Consider the following 16,988-nt stretch of genomic DNA (forward strand, 5'->3'; position numbering starts at 1 on the left):
CTGGCACCAAGTTGGTCAATCCACCATGTGCATGCATGTGCCCCGACCTCAGAAACAGCCTGGTGAGTCCACCTCTAGCAACGTTGCACTTCCACTGCCACAAACCTCTCAGCCCAGGCCACTGAGACACTCGCAAACGTCACCAATGTGGACGGCAGCTGAAGAAACGACATGGAGACTACGCTACTGCGTCAACCTAGAACTAAAGCCAGCACGCCCCGCCACACTGACACCCTGAGACCCGTCTGTACTAGGAAGTCTTTTCCTGCAAAACCTACTCCATTAAATTGCAAGGGATGACTGGTCCGCCAGATGTGTAGAAATCAACGTAGGAACACATAAAACATGAAAAGGCCAGGAAACACGACACCTGAAAAAGACAACAGTCATTCTCCAGTAGCAGACCCCAATCATAAGGAAATATACAGAATGTCAGAAAAATAATTCAAAAGGATAATCTCTAAGAAACTCAGGGAGATACAATAGTGTACAGATAGAAAATTCAGTGAAATCAGGAAAACAATTTATCATTTGAATGAGGAATTCAACAAAGAGATAAGTATCATAAAAAAGAACCAACAGAAATTCCAGAGTTGAAGAATTCAATGAATGAAATTAAAAGTACAATTGAGACCTTCAAGATTAGACTAGGCCAAGCAAAAGAGTTTCTGAAGTTGAAGACAGATCTTTTGAAATAATTCAGGCAGATGAATAAAAAGAAAAAAAGAGTAAAAAGGAATGAAGAAAATCCCCAGCATTTATGGGACACAATTAAGTGAACAAATATTTGCATTATGGGTATTCCAAAAGAGTAGGGAAATGGTGTAGAAAACACGTTTAATGAAATCATAGCTGAAAACTTCCCAGATCCAGGAGGTTCACAGAACCCAAAATAGAACTTCTTTGAGGCACACTGTCAAAAGTCAAGTTGTCAAAAGTCAAAGACAAAGAATTCCAAAAACAGCAAGAGAAAAACATTGTCACATATTAGAGAATCTCCATTAGACTAAGAACAGATTTCAAAAATATGAAAAAGGGTTTTCTATGATCTCTGTTGCTGAGCCAAAAAAAAAAAAAAAACAACAACAGTTTAAGACACAGCAAGAAGTTCCATTTTTGCTTAACTCCACACCTGCTCCTGGTCTGGGCCCTGCGCTGGTAGTGCTGGGTGCCTTCTGGGGTCCTGAGCATCCCTGCAGGGAGGTTTGTGTCTGGGCTCACACTGACTTCCCCTCACTGTGTCTCTTGCACAGTAATACACAGCCGTGTCCTCGGGAGTCACAGAGTTCAGCTGCAGGGAGAACTGGTTCTTGGATGTGTCTGGGTTGATGGTTATTCGACTTTTCACAGATACTGCATAATCATTATACCACTTGGACCTGTAGTATGTCCTTCCCAGCCACTCAAGGCCTCTCGATGGGGACTGCCTGATCCAGTTCCAAGCAGCACTGTTGCTAGAGACACTGTCCCCGGAGATGGCACAGGTGAGTGAGAGGGTCTGCGAGGGCTTCACCAGTCCTGGACCTGACTGCTGCAGCTGTACCTGTGACAGGACACCTGGAGACAAAAGGAAACAGCAAAGTGAAACACCCCTCAGTCTGTGAATGCTGCTGTGAATACGGCATCTCCCTGACACTGACCCCATGGGAGGCCCAGCACGGGCAGGAAGATGAGGAAGGAGACAGACATTGTCTGGAGCTCTGGTGACTGCCCTGGTCAGCCAGAATTCAGCAGGCTCTGCAGTTCTGCAGCGGGGGAGGCTACATTTAAACAGGAAACCACACCCTGGCATTTGCCTGTGTGCGTCACTTGCTGATATAAGGCCCCGGGACGGAGATGGCTCATTGAAGAGCCGGGGCCCTCAGGTCTACAACTGGGTTTCCCTAGAGCCATGTTCTTCAGCAGATTGGATGCAAAGAGGAGCTCAGAGGCAGGGCCCCTGGGTGTGATGACTCTGAAATTCCAGCATTTGGCGTCCTACATCAACCAAAGTCTATATACCCTTATTCATAGATCAGATCCCCTTCATTTATTCACCCATTCACTCATTCATGCAACAAATCCTGAGGGCCGATGGTACTAACCCCCACCCCCTGGCATGAGGAGGCATCCCTAGGCAGATGCACCATCCCTGTGCCCCTGGGGCCAGGTGCCAGGTCCCTAGAGTAAGAAGGCTCAACACCCACACCACCCCAGGCAGTCCCACCACTTCGGGAGTGAAGGGCAGCAGGTCAGCATTCTGGTCCAGGAAAAGCCTGCAGTGGAAAGGAGAGGGGTTTTGCTTCTGTGTGGTGGGGCAGGATGGAGCCGAGTGCAGGGAGCTGTGAGCTTCTAAAGGGAGGTCCACAGAGCACAGTGGGCAAGGGCAGCTCATCCCAAACCCCAAGGGTGGTGGAAACACCCCAGGATGGGGTTGGATGGGTGAGTAGGAGCTTTTTTTTTTTTAACCACCTCAATCATGAATCTGCAAGAGTGAGAGCTAATGACAGGTGACTATGGCGCACACAGTGTCTAGGAGGGGCCTGTTTCTGTCCAGTGACACTTTCTCCTTACATGGCCCCAGAGTGTAACACCCGAGTTTCTGTGGTTCTCGGGGCCTACAGTTCTACCCTCTACTCCTCAGTACTCACATGCGTCACCCACAGGCGTTGCATCTGTGGGGTGGGAACGGGGGTGCCACCACTCCTCACCACATCCAAGGCCCACTGCAGGCTGGCTGATCTGTGGGGATTTGTGGTTCCAGGGCATGGCAGGTCAGCTGCTTTCCGGAGGACTATGGGTGGATATCTCCTGGGCATGGAGCTCACCGCACAGCCAAGGGAGGGCTCGGAGTGCACTGGGGAAAGGCCGCCCCCAGGGCATTCCTGGTGACTGGCTGGGGCTGTGAACATGGAAACTGCACTGTGTGAGGAGAGGGCGAGGCAGTGAGTGTGGCTGCCTCCCAGTGATGTGGGACTGTGCCTCTGCAAGGGGTCGAACCTGTGTCCTCCTGTTGATGGTGGACCCATTGTCCTCATCCACACCTCCACAGGCCTTTCCCTGACTCACTGTAGAACCTGACTATGGCCCCGATAGACAAAGACTTTCCCGCCTGCATTCTCGGTCTACAGCCCATCCTGAGCCCAGGGCGAGGTCCAGGCTTGCACAGGAAGGAGGCACTGATGGGCACGGGGTGGACTGTAGCCACGGAGGGCTGCACAGTGCTGCCAGGCGAATTAGCAGACTCCTAGCTCCCAAATGCAGGGCCAGTTTCCTCTCAGGAACCTACCCTCATTTCCTTGGTAGCCCATTTCATGCACTGGGCTCTGAAGAGTTCTGGTGCAGGATGAGGAGGTGGGGCTGAGGTCTGGACAGACAAAGGTGTGCGTCCCATGGGGCCCACATCGTGGGGCTTGGGAATGATGATGTGTCCAGGAGAGGGCATAGCCTCCACGCCTCGTTCTTGAGAGGGCCTGTGGTGTGGCTTTGGAAATTGGATAAGAATGGTGGCCGCAGCTGCTGGTGCTATAAGAACGGTCACAGCTGAGCAGCGGCCACAGTCCCCCGAGAGTGTCCTCTCCAAGGCACCGTGCAGCTGCTAACACCACCCACCCAGTGCCTGCGCGTCCTGAACTACCCAGAAAACCTACCTCAAGTTGAAAGGAAAAAGCAAAACTGTCTCTGTTCAGAGATTATATGGTTATAGACATAGAAAATCTTAAAGAATCTGAAAAAAAAATAAATCCCCAAAACAAAAACGGACTGTTCAAACTAAGAAAATCAAGGACATTTGAGCATATTAGCACCAAACAATTGGAAAATTAATTTTGAAAGGAAAAAACTTGTGAAGACATAAAAAGCAATCAGGATATACCTTAGAAGAAACATAAAACGATGTGGAGTTCTTTACACAGAAAATTGTAAAACATTGCTCAGAGGCTATGAACATATGAAGAGATACACCACATATTGGATGCATGGATTGGAAAACTCAGTGTAATTGAGAGACAGGACTAGCTGGATTTCCTAGGCCGACTAAGAATCCCTAAGCCCAGCTGGGAAGGTGACCACTTCCACCTTTAAACACGGGGCTTGCAACTCAGCTCACACCCGACCAATCAGATAGTAAAGAGAGCTCACTAAAATGCTAATTAGGCAAAAGCAGGAGGTAAAGAAATAGCCAATCATCTATCACCTGAGAGCACAGCGGGAGGGACAATGATCGGGATATAAACCCAGGCATTCGAGCCGGTAACAGCTACCCTCTTTGGGTCCCCTCCCTTTGTATGGGAGCTCTGTCTTCACTCTACTAAATCTTGCAACTGCACTCTTCTGGTCCATGTTTGTTACGGCTCGAGCTTCGCTTTCGCTCACCGTCCACCACTGCTGTTTGCCCCCGTGGGAGACCCACCGCTGGCTTCCATCCCTCCGGATCCATCAGGGTATCCGCTGTGCTCCTGATCCAGCGAGGCGCCCATTGCCACTCTCGATCGGACCAAATGCTCGCCATTGTTCCTGCACGGCTAAGTGCCTGGGTTCGTCCTAATCGAGCTGAACACTAGTCACTGGGTTCCACGGTTCTCTTCCGTGACCCACGGCTTCTAATAGAGCTATAACACTCACTGCATGGCCCAAGCTTCCATTCCTTGGAATCCGTGAGGCCAAGAACCCCAGGTCAGAGAACATGAGGCTTGCCACCATCTTGGAAGTGGCCTGCGGTCATTTTGGAAGCGGCCTGCCACCATCTTGGGAGCTCTGGGAGCAAGGGCCCCCCAATAACATAATTAAGATGCCAGTTTTCCCTAAATAAAATCTATAGTTTAAATTTAATCCAAATCAAAATCCCATTCAACCCAGCAATTCAATTACTGGAATTTCTCCAGGGTATAAAAGCACATGTGCTCCAATGATACAATGAATGCTTAGTAATCACAAGCAAATACCTTAAATGTCTCATAACATCTTTCACACAAAAGCTGTTGCATGTCTATTAGCTAATGATTCTTACATCTCATCCGGACCATGCAGCATGAGCAAAGGGATTTCTAACCTTCCGAAGTCTCAGTACTAACTGAGGACTTTACACAAATTGGAAATGGTCACGTGCATTTCATGGTGAGGGTGGGGAGCTTTTGCACTGGAAAGTCCTGTAGAGAAGATTCCGTTATCTTAGTAAAATCACACAGTTTTACTTTGCAGATTGGGATTACTATCGGATAAAGGGTTACTGATGTGGGAAGTTTTCCTACTTTATTATCCTTTTAGGTTCCTATGTGATACGGTTTGGCTCTGTGTCCCCACCCCAATCTCATCTCTAGTTGTAATTCTGATGTATCAAGGAAGGGTCCAGGTGGGAGGTGATTACAGGCATCTGCCACCACGCCCAGCTAATTTTTGTGTTTTTAGTAGAGACAGGTTTTGCCATGTTGGCCAGGCTGGTCTCAAAGTCCTGACCTCAAGTGATCCGCCTGCCTCGGCCTCCCACAGTGCTGGGATTACAGGTGTGAGCCACTGCACCCGGGCTCCAGGCTACACTTGAAGCATTTCTTAGGTTCAGTTCAGAGCAGCCTTTAGTCCTGAATTAATGTGGCACCACTACTCACGAGATTACTTCGGAAGATTGCTTGAAGCTTTACATATCTCAAGGTCTTTCCACCCTGGCTGGGAGAACACAAACAATGCTTTCCTTGTGTAGGCTCTGTGTAGTTTTGGGTCCACAGGTTTCTGGTGATTTCCCCCTGATATCGAGTAGTTTCTTTTCATGCAGGCATAAGTCAGGCATAAGTCAGTTCTCAGCCCCAAACCTGAGGGATCCCCCTCCCTGCGGCAAGTCTCCAGCTGTTCTCCCCCCGCCCCACCCCGGCCCATCCTGGCTGCACAGCAGCCTGCTCCCCGGTGCTCCTCCCCTCGGGCTGCTGCTGCCTTGAACTCTGCTCTCTGTCCGCTCAGCTCACTAAGCCTTTCCGTGTGTCCTGGCAGCTGCTTTCAGGCAATAGCAGGATTCGTTCATTTGTTTTTCTTTTCTCAGGGGTTATGATCCTGTGATGCTTGTTTCCAAATGTCTGAAAACTACTTTTTCAAAACATTTCCACCTCAGTGTTCTATTTGTTTAAGGAATGTGGGTAAGTGCATTTTACCCACAGGGCTTGAACCAACATTCAAAATTTTATGTTAGAACCTGTTAAAGACAAAGGGCAAAACTGATCACAAACTCAAATGCAGGACAGTTGCACTGCGATTCTTTTTTCGTTAGGTTACAGCCCTTATGTGTTGTACTCCGCGGGCGCAGGCTGAGAGCCGTCTGCACCTTTGTTACTGCGGCCCGACGCCCTCTTGCCAGGGCCACAGCAGCATCCCCCGGGTCACCGAGCCGGGGCTTTCCCACGTGCCTCCTTACAATTGCTATGTTTCTGCAAGCAGAGGCCCAAGGAAGTATGAAGCACTCCTCAATATCTAAATTAGCTAGCAAAACTCTACAGGGTGATTAAAAAAAAAAAAAAAAAACAACTGTGAAGGTGAGAGGTGCAGTGAGTCCTTGGCAGAGGCCGTTTGCTCAGGGAAAGTAAAACCAATGACCTGACTCAACGCGGACACGTCTGCCCCGCCCCCTAAAACCTGCTTCTGGGGCCGCTGTGTGGTCTGGAGCGCCGCCTGGTGGTCTTGTGCTTCCCTGCAGGGAGGTTTGTGTCTGGGCTCACGCTGAGGTCCCCATTCTGTCTCCCACGGGAATGTGCGGCCCTGCCCTTGGCCATCACGGAGCTCAGCTGCAGGGATAACTGGGCCTTGGATGTGTCTCTACAGATGGAGAGTTGGCCCAGAAAGGCTGGGCTGAAGTGTGTGCTGCCCCTGGAGCTGAGGTGCCCCAGCGCCTTCCCAGAGGGCTGCTGGGTCCAGGCCCAGAGGTCTGTGAGGACCTCACCAGCCCTGGGCATGACTCCAGTAGCTGCATCTGATGCAGGACACTCAGGGACAAGAAGCAAAGAGATGAGTCACAAGCGGACACCACAGCCCACAGCCCCCGTTCTGAAATCTCTGAGACACTCACATGGAGGTACAGCCATCAGGCAGAGGACGACACACAGAGATCTCATGTTTTCCTCAACAAGGGGCTCGACTTTCTCAGTGGCCTCTCCAGGACAGAACAAGAAAAAATAACTGGCTGTCTCTAGTTTGAGGTTGCATTTCGCTGGGTCTCTGGGATGGAAATGTGTCTTGTGTCTTCAGGAGTCTGCAGGGCAGCCGCTGCTGTGACTCAGGTAGAAACTTCTCTCCCCTGATGTCCTGGCCCCTCGTTATCCCTGCCACAGTGCAATCAGACTGGGCACCGCTTTAGGGAGAAACGGAGGACATGGAGTGAGGGCAGGGTAGTGGAGACTATTGAAGAGAGTCAAAACTCTCCAGGGGTAGAGACGCCTCCAGGACCCCTTGGCATTGTTTTCTTCACTTTGCAGGAGTAGGAAGGAGCTGAGAGTCTAGACAGAGCCTCAGATGCACAACCCTGATTTGGCATATCGGGGAGCAATCTCATCAGCCCAGGAGAAGGCCCAGGAGAAGGGGCAGCTCTTTGTGCCTCTGCAGAGAAGCGGCAGGGACTGGGAGGACATTTTCCCTGCCCAGCAGGTGGTGCTGCCTCCTTGTTCCCTGCCTGGCACAGCCTCGGGGTGCAGCTGCTGGCTTTCCCAGGGTCTGTGGAGAGCGTCTTCTTGGTACTTCCTTAACGTCAAATAAAGTGAATGCCTTCTCAATGCACATCTTAATTCATCATTGGAAAGGCCAAGACACACGCACACACACATCTATATGTTTTTCTGACAAGAGCTAGAGACAATTGATAAGTATGTTATCTGACTGTAGTTCACCTTAAGGAGGAAAAAACTATTAAGAAATTTCTTAAGTGTAAATTGTGCCTAATTATGAGTAAATTAGTAACAGAAGTAAAAAATAATAACTGCAGTCAACTTATACACTTTAAAAGAATACTCTGTGAAACAATGACGTGTTATCAAAAAAGGGACACTTAATTTGTTATGTGTGGTGATGGTCAATGAGCAGACTCGTGTTCTTGCTGGAGAAGTCGCAGCATCCCCACAGGTGGACTTCCTGCAGCAATCTTGTGTGTCTCACACTTCTGTCCAAAGCATGTAAGGGGGGAACTCAGTGCGCACAGGAACCTGACGCCTGCCACCCAAGGGATGCGTGAGCTTCCGTATAAGCAGAAGAAGATGGAAACTTCAGCACCTGCAACAGAAGAGGCTTTCTGCTTTGGGGACCCAAACAGTTCCATCTATGGTGGAGATGTAGGCTCATTCCTACATCAACGTCAACAAGCCATTGGACACAACAACATTTAGGAGTAGTCGACCGCACCTTCTCCAATGTGGCCTGCACAGCCCAGGCTGCAGGGTGGGAGAGGTCGATTCTGGAGAAAAGTCATTCCTGCTCCCCTGGTACACTCTCCTCCCCCACTGCTTCATACAGGGACCAATGTGATGATGCCATCATGATGTTGAAGCACACACTGAGCCCTGTAATCAATTAGAGGGCTTTCCTATCCACCCATCCACACACACATCCACCCATCCACTCACCCGTCCATCCGTCCACCACTTATCCATGCATCCATCCACCCACCCAGCCATGCATTCATCCAGCCATCCCACAATCCACCCACCCACCCACACATCCAAACGTCCATCCACGAATTCATGCATCTGTCCACCCATCCAGCCATGCATTCATCCAGCCATCCCACAATCCACCCACCCACCCACACATCCAAACGTCCATCCACGAATTCATGCATCTGTCCACCCATCCAGCCATGCATTCATCCAGCCATCCCACAATCCACCCACCCACCCACACATCCAAACGTCCATCCACGAATTCATGCATCTGTCCACCCATCCAGCCATGCATTCATCCAGCCATCCCACAATCCACCCACCCACCCACACATCCAAACATCCATCCACTAATTCATGCATGTGTCCACCCATCCAGCCATGCATTCATCCAGCCATCCCACAATCCACCCACCCACCCACACATCCAAACGTCCATCCACTAATTCATGCATCTGTCCACCCATCCAGCTATCTGTTAGCAGGAGCGAATCCATACAGGTCTGCAGCAACTTGATTCTCGCCTCCTTGGAGGAAAGAATTTGGCCAAGGGGCATACAGAAGAGTGAGAGACCCAAGCAAGTTTTAGAGCAGGAGTAAATGTTTATTAAAGTTTTAAAGTGGGAACTAAAGGAAGTAAAGTACACTTGGAAGAGGGCTAAGTGGGCGACTTGAGAGATCTAAGTGCTCTGTCCGGCCCTTGACTTGGGGTTTTATACATTGACATGGTTCTGGGATTTGTATTTCTTCTCCCTTGATTCTTCCCTTGGAGTGGGCTGCCCACATGTACAGTGGCCTGCCAGCACTTGGGAGGGGCTGCATACACAGTGGGTTTAATGAAATGTGCACATGCTCATTTGAGGTGTCCTTCTCTTACTATTAGAGTGTTCCTAGAGGAAGATTATGTGCCAGTTAAACTCTGCCACTTTGCCTCTTAGTGCATATGCTTGAGCCCACTCACCCAATGCCTGAGATCTTATCAGGAAGCTGCTGATGACCAGTTTCGGGTGTTTTCTATCTATTGGGAGACTGCCTTTTCTTGGCGCTGGCTGAGATCAATTATTATTTATTATTATTATTATTATTTGAGACAGAGCTTTGCTCTGTCACCAGGCTGGAGTGCAGTGGCACAATCTCAGCTCACTGCAGCCTCTTCCTCCCAGGTTCAAGCAATTCTCCTGCCTCAGCCTCCCGAGTAGCTGGAACTATAGATGCACGCCACCACGCCCAGCTAATTTTTGTATTTTCAGTAAAGACAGGGTTTCACCATGTTGGTCAGGATGGTCTCAATCTCTTGACCTTGTGATCCGCCCACCTCAGCCTCCCAAAGTGTTGGGATTACAGACATGAGCCACCGCGTCCAGCCGAGACCAATAATTATTTTAGAGAGGCAGTTTAACAATCCCTTGACTATCAGCTCATGCCTGCCTAATTACCCACTCTAATACATCCATCCCTTCACATACCCATTCATCCATCCATCCATCCATCCACTCACTTATCTATCCAAGTACTCATCCATGCATGTAGCCACCCACCTACCCACCCATTCATCCACTCACCCATCCATCCACCCATCCATGCATCCATCAACCTACCCATCCACCCATACATGCATCCATCTATCTTTTCACTCTTCCATCCACACACCTACTCAGCCATCCATCCATCCATCTATCCATCCATCCATCCATCCATCCATCCATCCATCCACTAATCCATGGTTGGGTCCATCTGTCTGTGCCACAAACATGCAAAGATAAGTTCCATGTGACAAGTCTGAACTCAGTGTTGGAATCATGGGAGGGGCAAGGTGGAACAGGCTGGCTTCCTCACCACTGTTAACACTGTGGGGAGAAGGCCGATGGCAAACTCACTTCCATGTTAAATTTCCTAAAAGAGGAAGGGGAGTGTCATGCTAGAGAGTAATGGAAGCTCCCACTGTTGACACAGAGGTAATAAATGCCTGTCTGATGAGCTAAGACCTGCAGGAACAGAAACAGTCAGCCACATGAAAACAAGGCAGGAAAGAGGCCTATGGCAGAAGAGCAGCTGCTGAAAGTTCCCTTAGGTTGGGCAAAGCTGTTACGTTTTGAGGAACTAAGAACAGTCCAAGGGCAAGCCACCGCCCTGTGTTTCTCCTCTTCCCCTGTGTCTGTCTGATGACCCCACAGGTTGCCCTCTTTCACTTTGTATCTCTCATTTCTGTGCCTCTCTCTCTCTCTCTCTCTCTCTCTCTCTGTCTCCCTTCATCTGGCTTATCTCTCTGTATATCTTTTTGTCTTATTATTTCAACAAGGGCTCTTAGGGTCCATCTACCGTGCTGGAAACTTTCTTCTCACCAACCATTGTAAGTTGGAGAATGTTTTCTCCACCTTATTACAAAATGTTATAGCTAATTCTCTTACTGCAGAATAATCTTTAATATGGGTGCCCTGTTTTTAGAATTTAAAATTAGTATCAATTGCCATTTTTTCACAATTACAATTAGTATTTTACAAATGAGTTTTGTAACAGGGCAGGGCATTAATGAATTAAATTACTCTGTAATAGGAATGAGAAATTTTATTTTAATATTTTTGAGACAGAGTCTTGCTTTGTCTGTCAGGCTGGAGTGCGGTGGTATGATCTTAGCTCACTGCAACCTACACCTCTTGGGTTCAAACGATTATCCTGCCTCAGCCCCCCAAGTAGCTCAGACTACAGGTGCATGCCACCATGCCCAGCTAATTTTTGTATTTTTGGTAGATACAGCGTTTCACCATGTTGGCCAGGCTGGTTTTGAACTTCTGACCTCAGGTGAGCCACCTGCCTCGGCCTTCCAAAGTGCTGGGATACAGGCATGAGCCACTGTGCCCAGCCAAGAAATTTTATTTTTAATGGACCCTCTTAGATAGTTCTTAATAATGGCAGTATCAAAATACATGCAATTATGCATATGGAAGTAGCTTTTTTCCTACAAACTTAAGAATATTTCAAATCATCTTCTCTCTATTCTTTTGAATTACATGTGTGAGAAACAGATTATAAGTATTTCATGTTATTTTCCCAGACATCACTATAAGCATCAAGTAACTATTCACATGTGTGCCAGCGATTTATCATCATACTCATGAGGGTTTTCTATTTCTAGAAGTTGCCCATTTTTTGATCTCTTTTTGCTTTTTCCTTCTTGTAAATATTGGAGTTCTTAATTCTTTTCTAATGCTGTAGATCCTCCTAGGGAAGGATTCTCTACAGTACTACATGTGTTAGAATGTGGGTGAAAAATTATACGTGCTTTAAATAATGAATGAGCCCGAAAAAAAGAGCTGGAAGTTGCCAGGTGCTAGGAATAGACAAAATTAAAAAGGGCATTTGAATTGAGAATGAAACCTGAATGCCCCTTGCATTTCTGAGGTAGGTTTAACATACACAGGACGGGAGCAGCCTTGTGTGACTTGTGGGACTGGAGCTGAGGTTTCGGCTTGAGTAGAGAGGTTTTTTTTTTTTTAAATAATTAGTTTCTCTTTTGATTGACACATAAAAATGACCTATATTTATTCTGTACAGCATAATGTTTTGTAACATGTCTACATAGGGGAGTGGCTCCACTGAGCTAATTAACATCTGTATCACTCACCTACTCCCCATACGGCTAGAGAGGTTCTAAGTTGGCTTCAGCCATGATGTCAGGTTAGAAACATTCCCTCATGAACAGCAGCCCTGGACATGGTAGAAAAGCAAACCCCAAGCCCTCGCTGTTCACAAAGTGGTCCTAGTGTCTCACCCACCATCTGGAGCTGCAAAACTGAGCTGGGAAATCACCGTCGTGGAGTGCCACTGGCAGCACACAGGTCCCAGCAGCCAGGAGCAAGGCACCATCCACAGATGCCTGCTCCCGGGGGACCACAGCTCCTGTGATGAGGTCTCATACATAGAAACCATGTGATGAGCAAGGGAAAAGCGTGTCATGACATTCTGAAGGCCACAAAGAGGGAGGTAAACCTGTAGAGATGACAGATACTTCAAGTTACTTTCTGATTTTTCTAAAATTATAAAATAGATCAACAAAAAGCTAGAGAAGAATGAATAATTCAAGAACAGATTTTAAGAAAGAAGAACTTTCTGATGTGTGAAAGTACCCAATATGCATTATCATAATTGTAGGCATTGAGCTCTCAATGAAAGAATGACCTCACACTTGACACTCAGAAGGGGATAAATAATGTTGGATAGATTGCCAAAGTGTTCTAGAAAGAAAATAATCCATCTTTAATTTTACAATACCACTCTTTCTACAATGATAGCGAAAAAAAAATCCAGATACAAATGGCAGGAAAGTGGAGCATATAGTTTCCTGCTGAAGCTGCTGTTGATGAACGTGCCTCACTTGCATGATCTCGGCTGTGCATAGTGTGTGGCCAGTGGGGAGCAGTGCTTGTGGGTGGCTGAATAATGCATCCCCCAAATGTTTACATTCAAACCCCCAGAACATGTGGTTTAGTGACCTCATATGGCACGAGGAACTTTGTAGATGTGATTAAATTAATCTCGAGAGGGGAGAATATGGCCCTGCATTGTCTGGGTGGGTATGATGTAATCACAGGGGTGCTTATAAGTGGAAGCAGGAGAACCAGAGTCAGGGGAAGGGTGATGTGATGATGGACACAGAGATGAGAGGATGGCCTTTGAAGATGGAAGAAGGGGACACAGAGCAAGGAATATGGGTTCTAGAATCTGGAAAAGGCATGAAAACAGAATCTCCCTCCCAGGGTTCAGAAGAAACCAGCTCTGCCAACGCTTTGCCTCTGGACTAATAAAACCGCAGGACCACCAAGAAACTGCTCTTTCTTGCATAGAACACAGTCAGTATGCTCACACGACATGGGTGGGTTTGAGAGTTAAAGGAGACTGCAAGGTCTCTGGCTGAAACAGGGCAGGAATCAGGTGGAGCAAGAGGGTGGGTAGGCAGGACCTGATTTTCAGGAGTGTAAATGTGAGGCACTGATGAGATTTCCAGGTGGAGACAGAGGGAGGAGTTATGTGTTCAGGTCTAGAGTGGAGCTGGTAGGTTGGTCTGAGCCTGAGAAAGGAGGGCATCCTCCAGGAATTGAGAGTAGGAAAAGGGAAGAGTGGATAAGTGCTAAGAACTAAGTGGGAGATTTCTGGAGGTGGCGGCTCACAGAGCCAGCAATGTCTTATGGTTGGGGTTTGTAACCCCAGTCACTGAAAGTGTCCTCCCAGCCTCTCTCTGCATATGCCCCTGGGGCTGAGTGCCTGCGTTGGATGGTCACTTACCATTCCCTAAGAGGCCCTAAGCACCTCCTGCAGCCCAGCTCCTCCTGGACCCTCTCTCTGCATATGCCCCTGGGGCTGAGTGCCTGCGTTGGGTGGTCACTTACCATTCCCTAAGAGGCCCTAAGCACCTCCTGCAGCCCAGCCCCTCCTGGACCCTCTGGAGGGGAAGTTTGTGTTTGTGTTTGGTCACGGAGCCCGGCTGCAGAGAAAACAAGTTTTTTTTTTTTTTTTTTCGAAAGGATCTCACTCTGCCACCCACGCTGGAGTGAGGTGGTGCCATCATAGCTCACTGCAACCTCAACCTCCTGGCCTCAAGCCACACTCCCACCTTGGCCTCCCAAAGTGTTGCGTTTACAGGTGTGTGCCAAGGTGCCCACTCAAAAACGGGTTCTTGGCTGGGCACTGTGGCTCAAGCCTGTAATCCCAGCACCTTGGGGGTCAAGGTGGGTGGATCACTTGAGCCCAGGAGTTTGAGACCAGCCTGGGCAACAGACTGTTACATGACCATTTAGCTTATGCAAATGTGGGACTGGTTAAATGGTCTATGTGGGGCTGTCACCTTGTCTTTGCATCTGTCACTGAAGCCAGAAGTCAGCAGGGCAGACAGTTGGGAAGGAAAGACAGTGGGCAAGCTGAGGTGGACAGAGGCAGCCACAGGGATGGACTGGGACACATGAAGGCAGGCGAAACCATGTTGTCTCTCACACCCTTTCAAGGGTCTAGAGGGAGTCCTTTAACTGATTTTCTTCCAATATATGTAATTATGAGGCTGGAGGTGGTGATACTGGAGTTCATAGCCTGACTGGAAGCTGTAAAAAGCTTGTACAACCTTATGGTGATTAGTTTTTATAGCCTTAATAAGCCCCAGAAATAAGACTAAGTCAGAGACTTGATTTAGGATTTTGATTTTTGAGAACATTTGTTATAGATGCTAAAAGGCTCAAAATATTTGATCAAAACAGAATCACAGGCCATTGTAAAATGATAGTTACTAATTTAACCGAAGTGGTAATTAAAAAGACTTCAGAGGTGAGTCAAGATGGCTGACTAGATGCAGCCAGGAGGAATATCTGTCATGGAGGGAGTGAGACATCAGGAAGACGGGTGCTTTCCAAGCAGATCTTTGAAGGGGAGGCATTGAGAGTGGATTGAGAGTAGATGGGGGAGGACACAGATGCTGAGCTGAAGGTGGAGGAAGATGGGAACCCTGCATGGGGATGCCAAGCACCAGGACTCATTCCTGGCTCCCAGCAACTCCTGGGGAAAGGTTGAGTTGAACAGGTGAGGAGTGGCCTGCTGTTGCCATGGGCCTCCAGAATCCTAGCAGCAGGAGACCCCATGACCCCCATGGACACTTGTGCTGGAAGGGACAGCTGCTTAGAGAGATGCCAGGGGCAGGACTCCAGTCTGTGTAAAGCCCAGAGTGTTTGACATGAGAATGGCTGTAGTGGAGCACAGCCAGGGGACACCCATCCCCCAAGGCTCACCAACCTCCTCTAGGAGATTTTAACCTTAGAGTGACTATGGGACCTGAATAAAGCAGGGTGGTCTTGTCCATGGGACAGGGCCCATCTGAAATGAGAATTTCCTTGCCTTCTGGCCTCTCCTGGGGCCCCAGGCTGGCTGTGCCTGCTTGCAGTACAGCCTTGGAAGCCCAACCAGGGTGTTTCCTGGGGGCCCTCATCATAGCTCCTTTGCCAGCAGACCATGCCTAACCATTGGAGACCTCCAGCAGGCCAGCCTCTGCTGATGTGCACCAGTCCACCCATAGTACCTCCCAACTGCTTTGCTGGCATGAGTGCACAGCAGATCACAACTCCCTCTACCACCAGCAAGCATGTGCATGTGTGCCCCACCACCCTGTCCCTGCCAACACACGGACACCTCACTGCGCTGTGACTGCCAGCAGGAACCTATGTAGGGATGCTGCCACTCTGCTCCTGCCAGTACCCCCACCCCAGCAGATGCATGTGCACCCTGCCATGACTCCACAACTGCTGGCACCCATGAGTAAGAATGGATCCCACTGCCACCACTCTAATGAAGTGCTTTGGCCGGCACCCCCTACTATAGTGTTGTGGCCAATGGACTGGGAACACCTCAGCCCCTCCAATGCAGCAAGTTTCTAAACTCAAGGGGCCAGAGAATAAAGCCAGGGGCCCAGTCCCAGAGCAGAGAACACACCACAAGAGTGCTGAGGTGAGCCTGGACTCTCTAAGATTTTCAAGAAACACTGCTAACTGAATCCACTTTATACCACAATCAAACCTGCAAGAGTATCAAAGAAGATAAGAGCAAAAAACAAACAAATGAACAAACAAACAAAAACACACACCAAAAAACAACAAAAAAGACAAAAACATCCAAAGGACAGCCACTTCAAAGATTAAAGAAACAGCCCACAAAGATGAGAAAGAATTAATGCAAGAAACTCTGCAACTCTAAAATCCAGAGTGTCTTCTTACCTCCAAATAATCACACTGGTTTCCCAGCAATGGTTCTTAACCTGACTGAAATGGCTGAAATGACAGACATAGAATTCAGAATATGCACAGGAAAGAAGATCACTGAGATTCAGGAGAATGTTGAAACCCAATCCAAGGGAGCTAAGAAATAAAGTAAAATGATACAGAAGCTGAAAGATGAAATGGCCATTTTAAGAAAGAACCAAACTGATTTGATAGAGCTAAAAAACTCACTTCAAGAATTTCAGAATACAATTACAAGTATTAACAGCAGAATAGACCAAGCTGAGGAAAGAATCACAGAGCTTAAAAACTGATTCTCTGAATTAACTCAGTCAGACAAAAATAAAGAACAAAGAATAAAAAAGAAGGCATAAAACCTCAGAGAAATGTGCAATTATGTAAAAAGACCAGATCTATGACACATTGGTATCCCTTAAGAAGAGAAAGAGAAAAAAAGAAACTTGAAAAACATTTCAGGCTATCCTCCATGAAAATTTCTCCAACCTCACCAGAGAGGCCAACATTCAAATTCAAGAAATGCAAATAACCTCTGCATGATATTATACATGACAACCATCCCTAAGACATATAGCCATCAGACATCAGACTCTTAAAGGTTGAAAGGAAAAAAAATATT

The 16,988-nt window shown here is 48.0% G+C and overlaps 1 pseudogene, 1 gene segment (V, D, J or C) and 1 further gene; all 3 read right to left on the bottom strand.

Moving 5' to 3' along the window:
• The window catches only part of IGH (immunoglobulin heavy locus), a 1,293,408-nt gene that overhangs the window by 352,076 nt on the left and 924,344 nt on the right, over nt 1-16,988 (bottom strand).
• IGHV6-1 (immunoglobulin heavy variable 6-1) lies at nt 1,242-1,689 on the bottom strand. The segment is given in 2 exon segments: nt 1,242-1,557; nt 1,641-1,689. Coding segments are annotated over 2 exon segments (365 nt in total), but the record flags the coding sequence as incomplete, so codon positions are not given.
• IGHVII-1-1 (immunoglobulin heavy variable (II)-1-1 (pseudogene)) lies at nt 6,426-6,879 on the bottom strand (annotated as a pseudogene). Its single transcript is given in 1 exon segment — nt 6,426-6,879. A coding segment is annotated over 1 exon segment (454 nt).

The sequence above is a fragment of the Homo sapiens genome, chromosome 14 (genome assembly GCF_000001405.40).
Source record: "Homo sapiens chromosome 14, GRCh38.p14 Primary Assembly".
Lineage (NCBI taxonomy): Eukaryota > Metazoa > Chordata > Mammalia > Primates > Hominidae > Homo > Homo sapiens.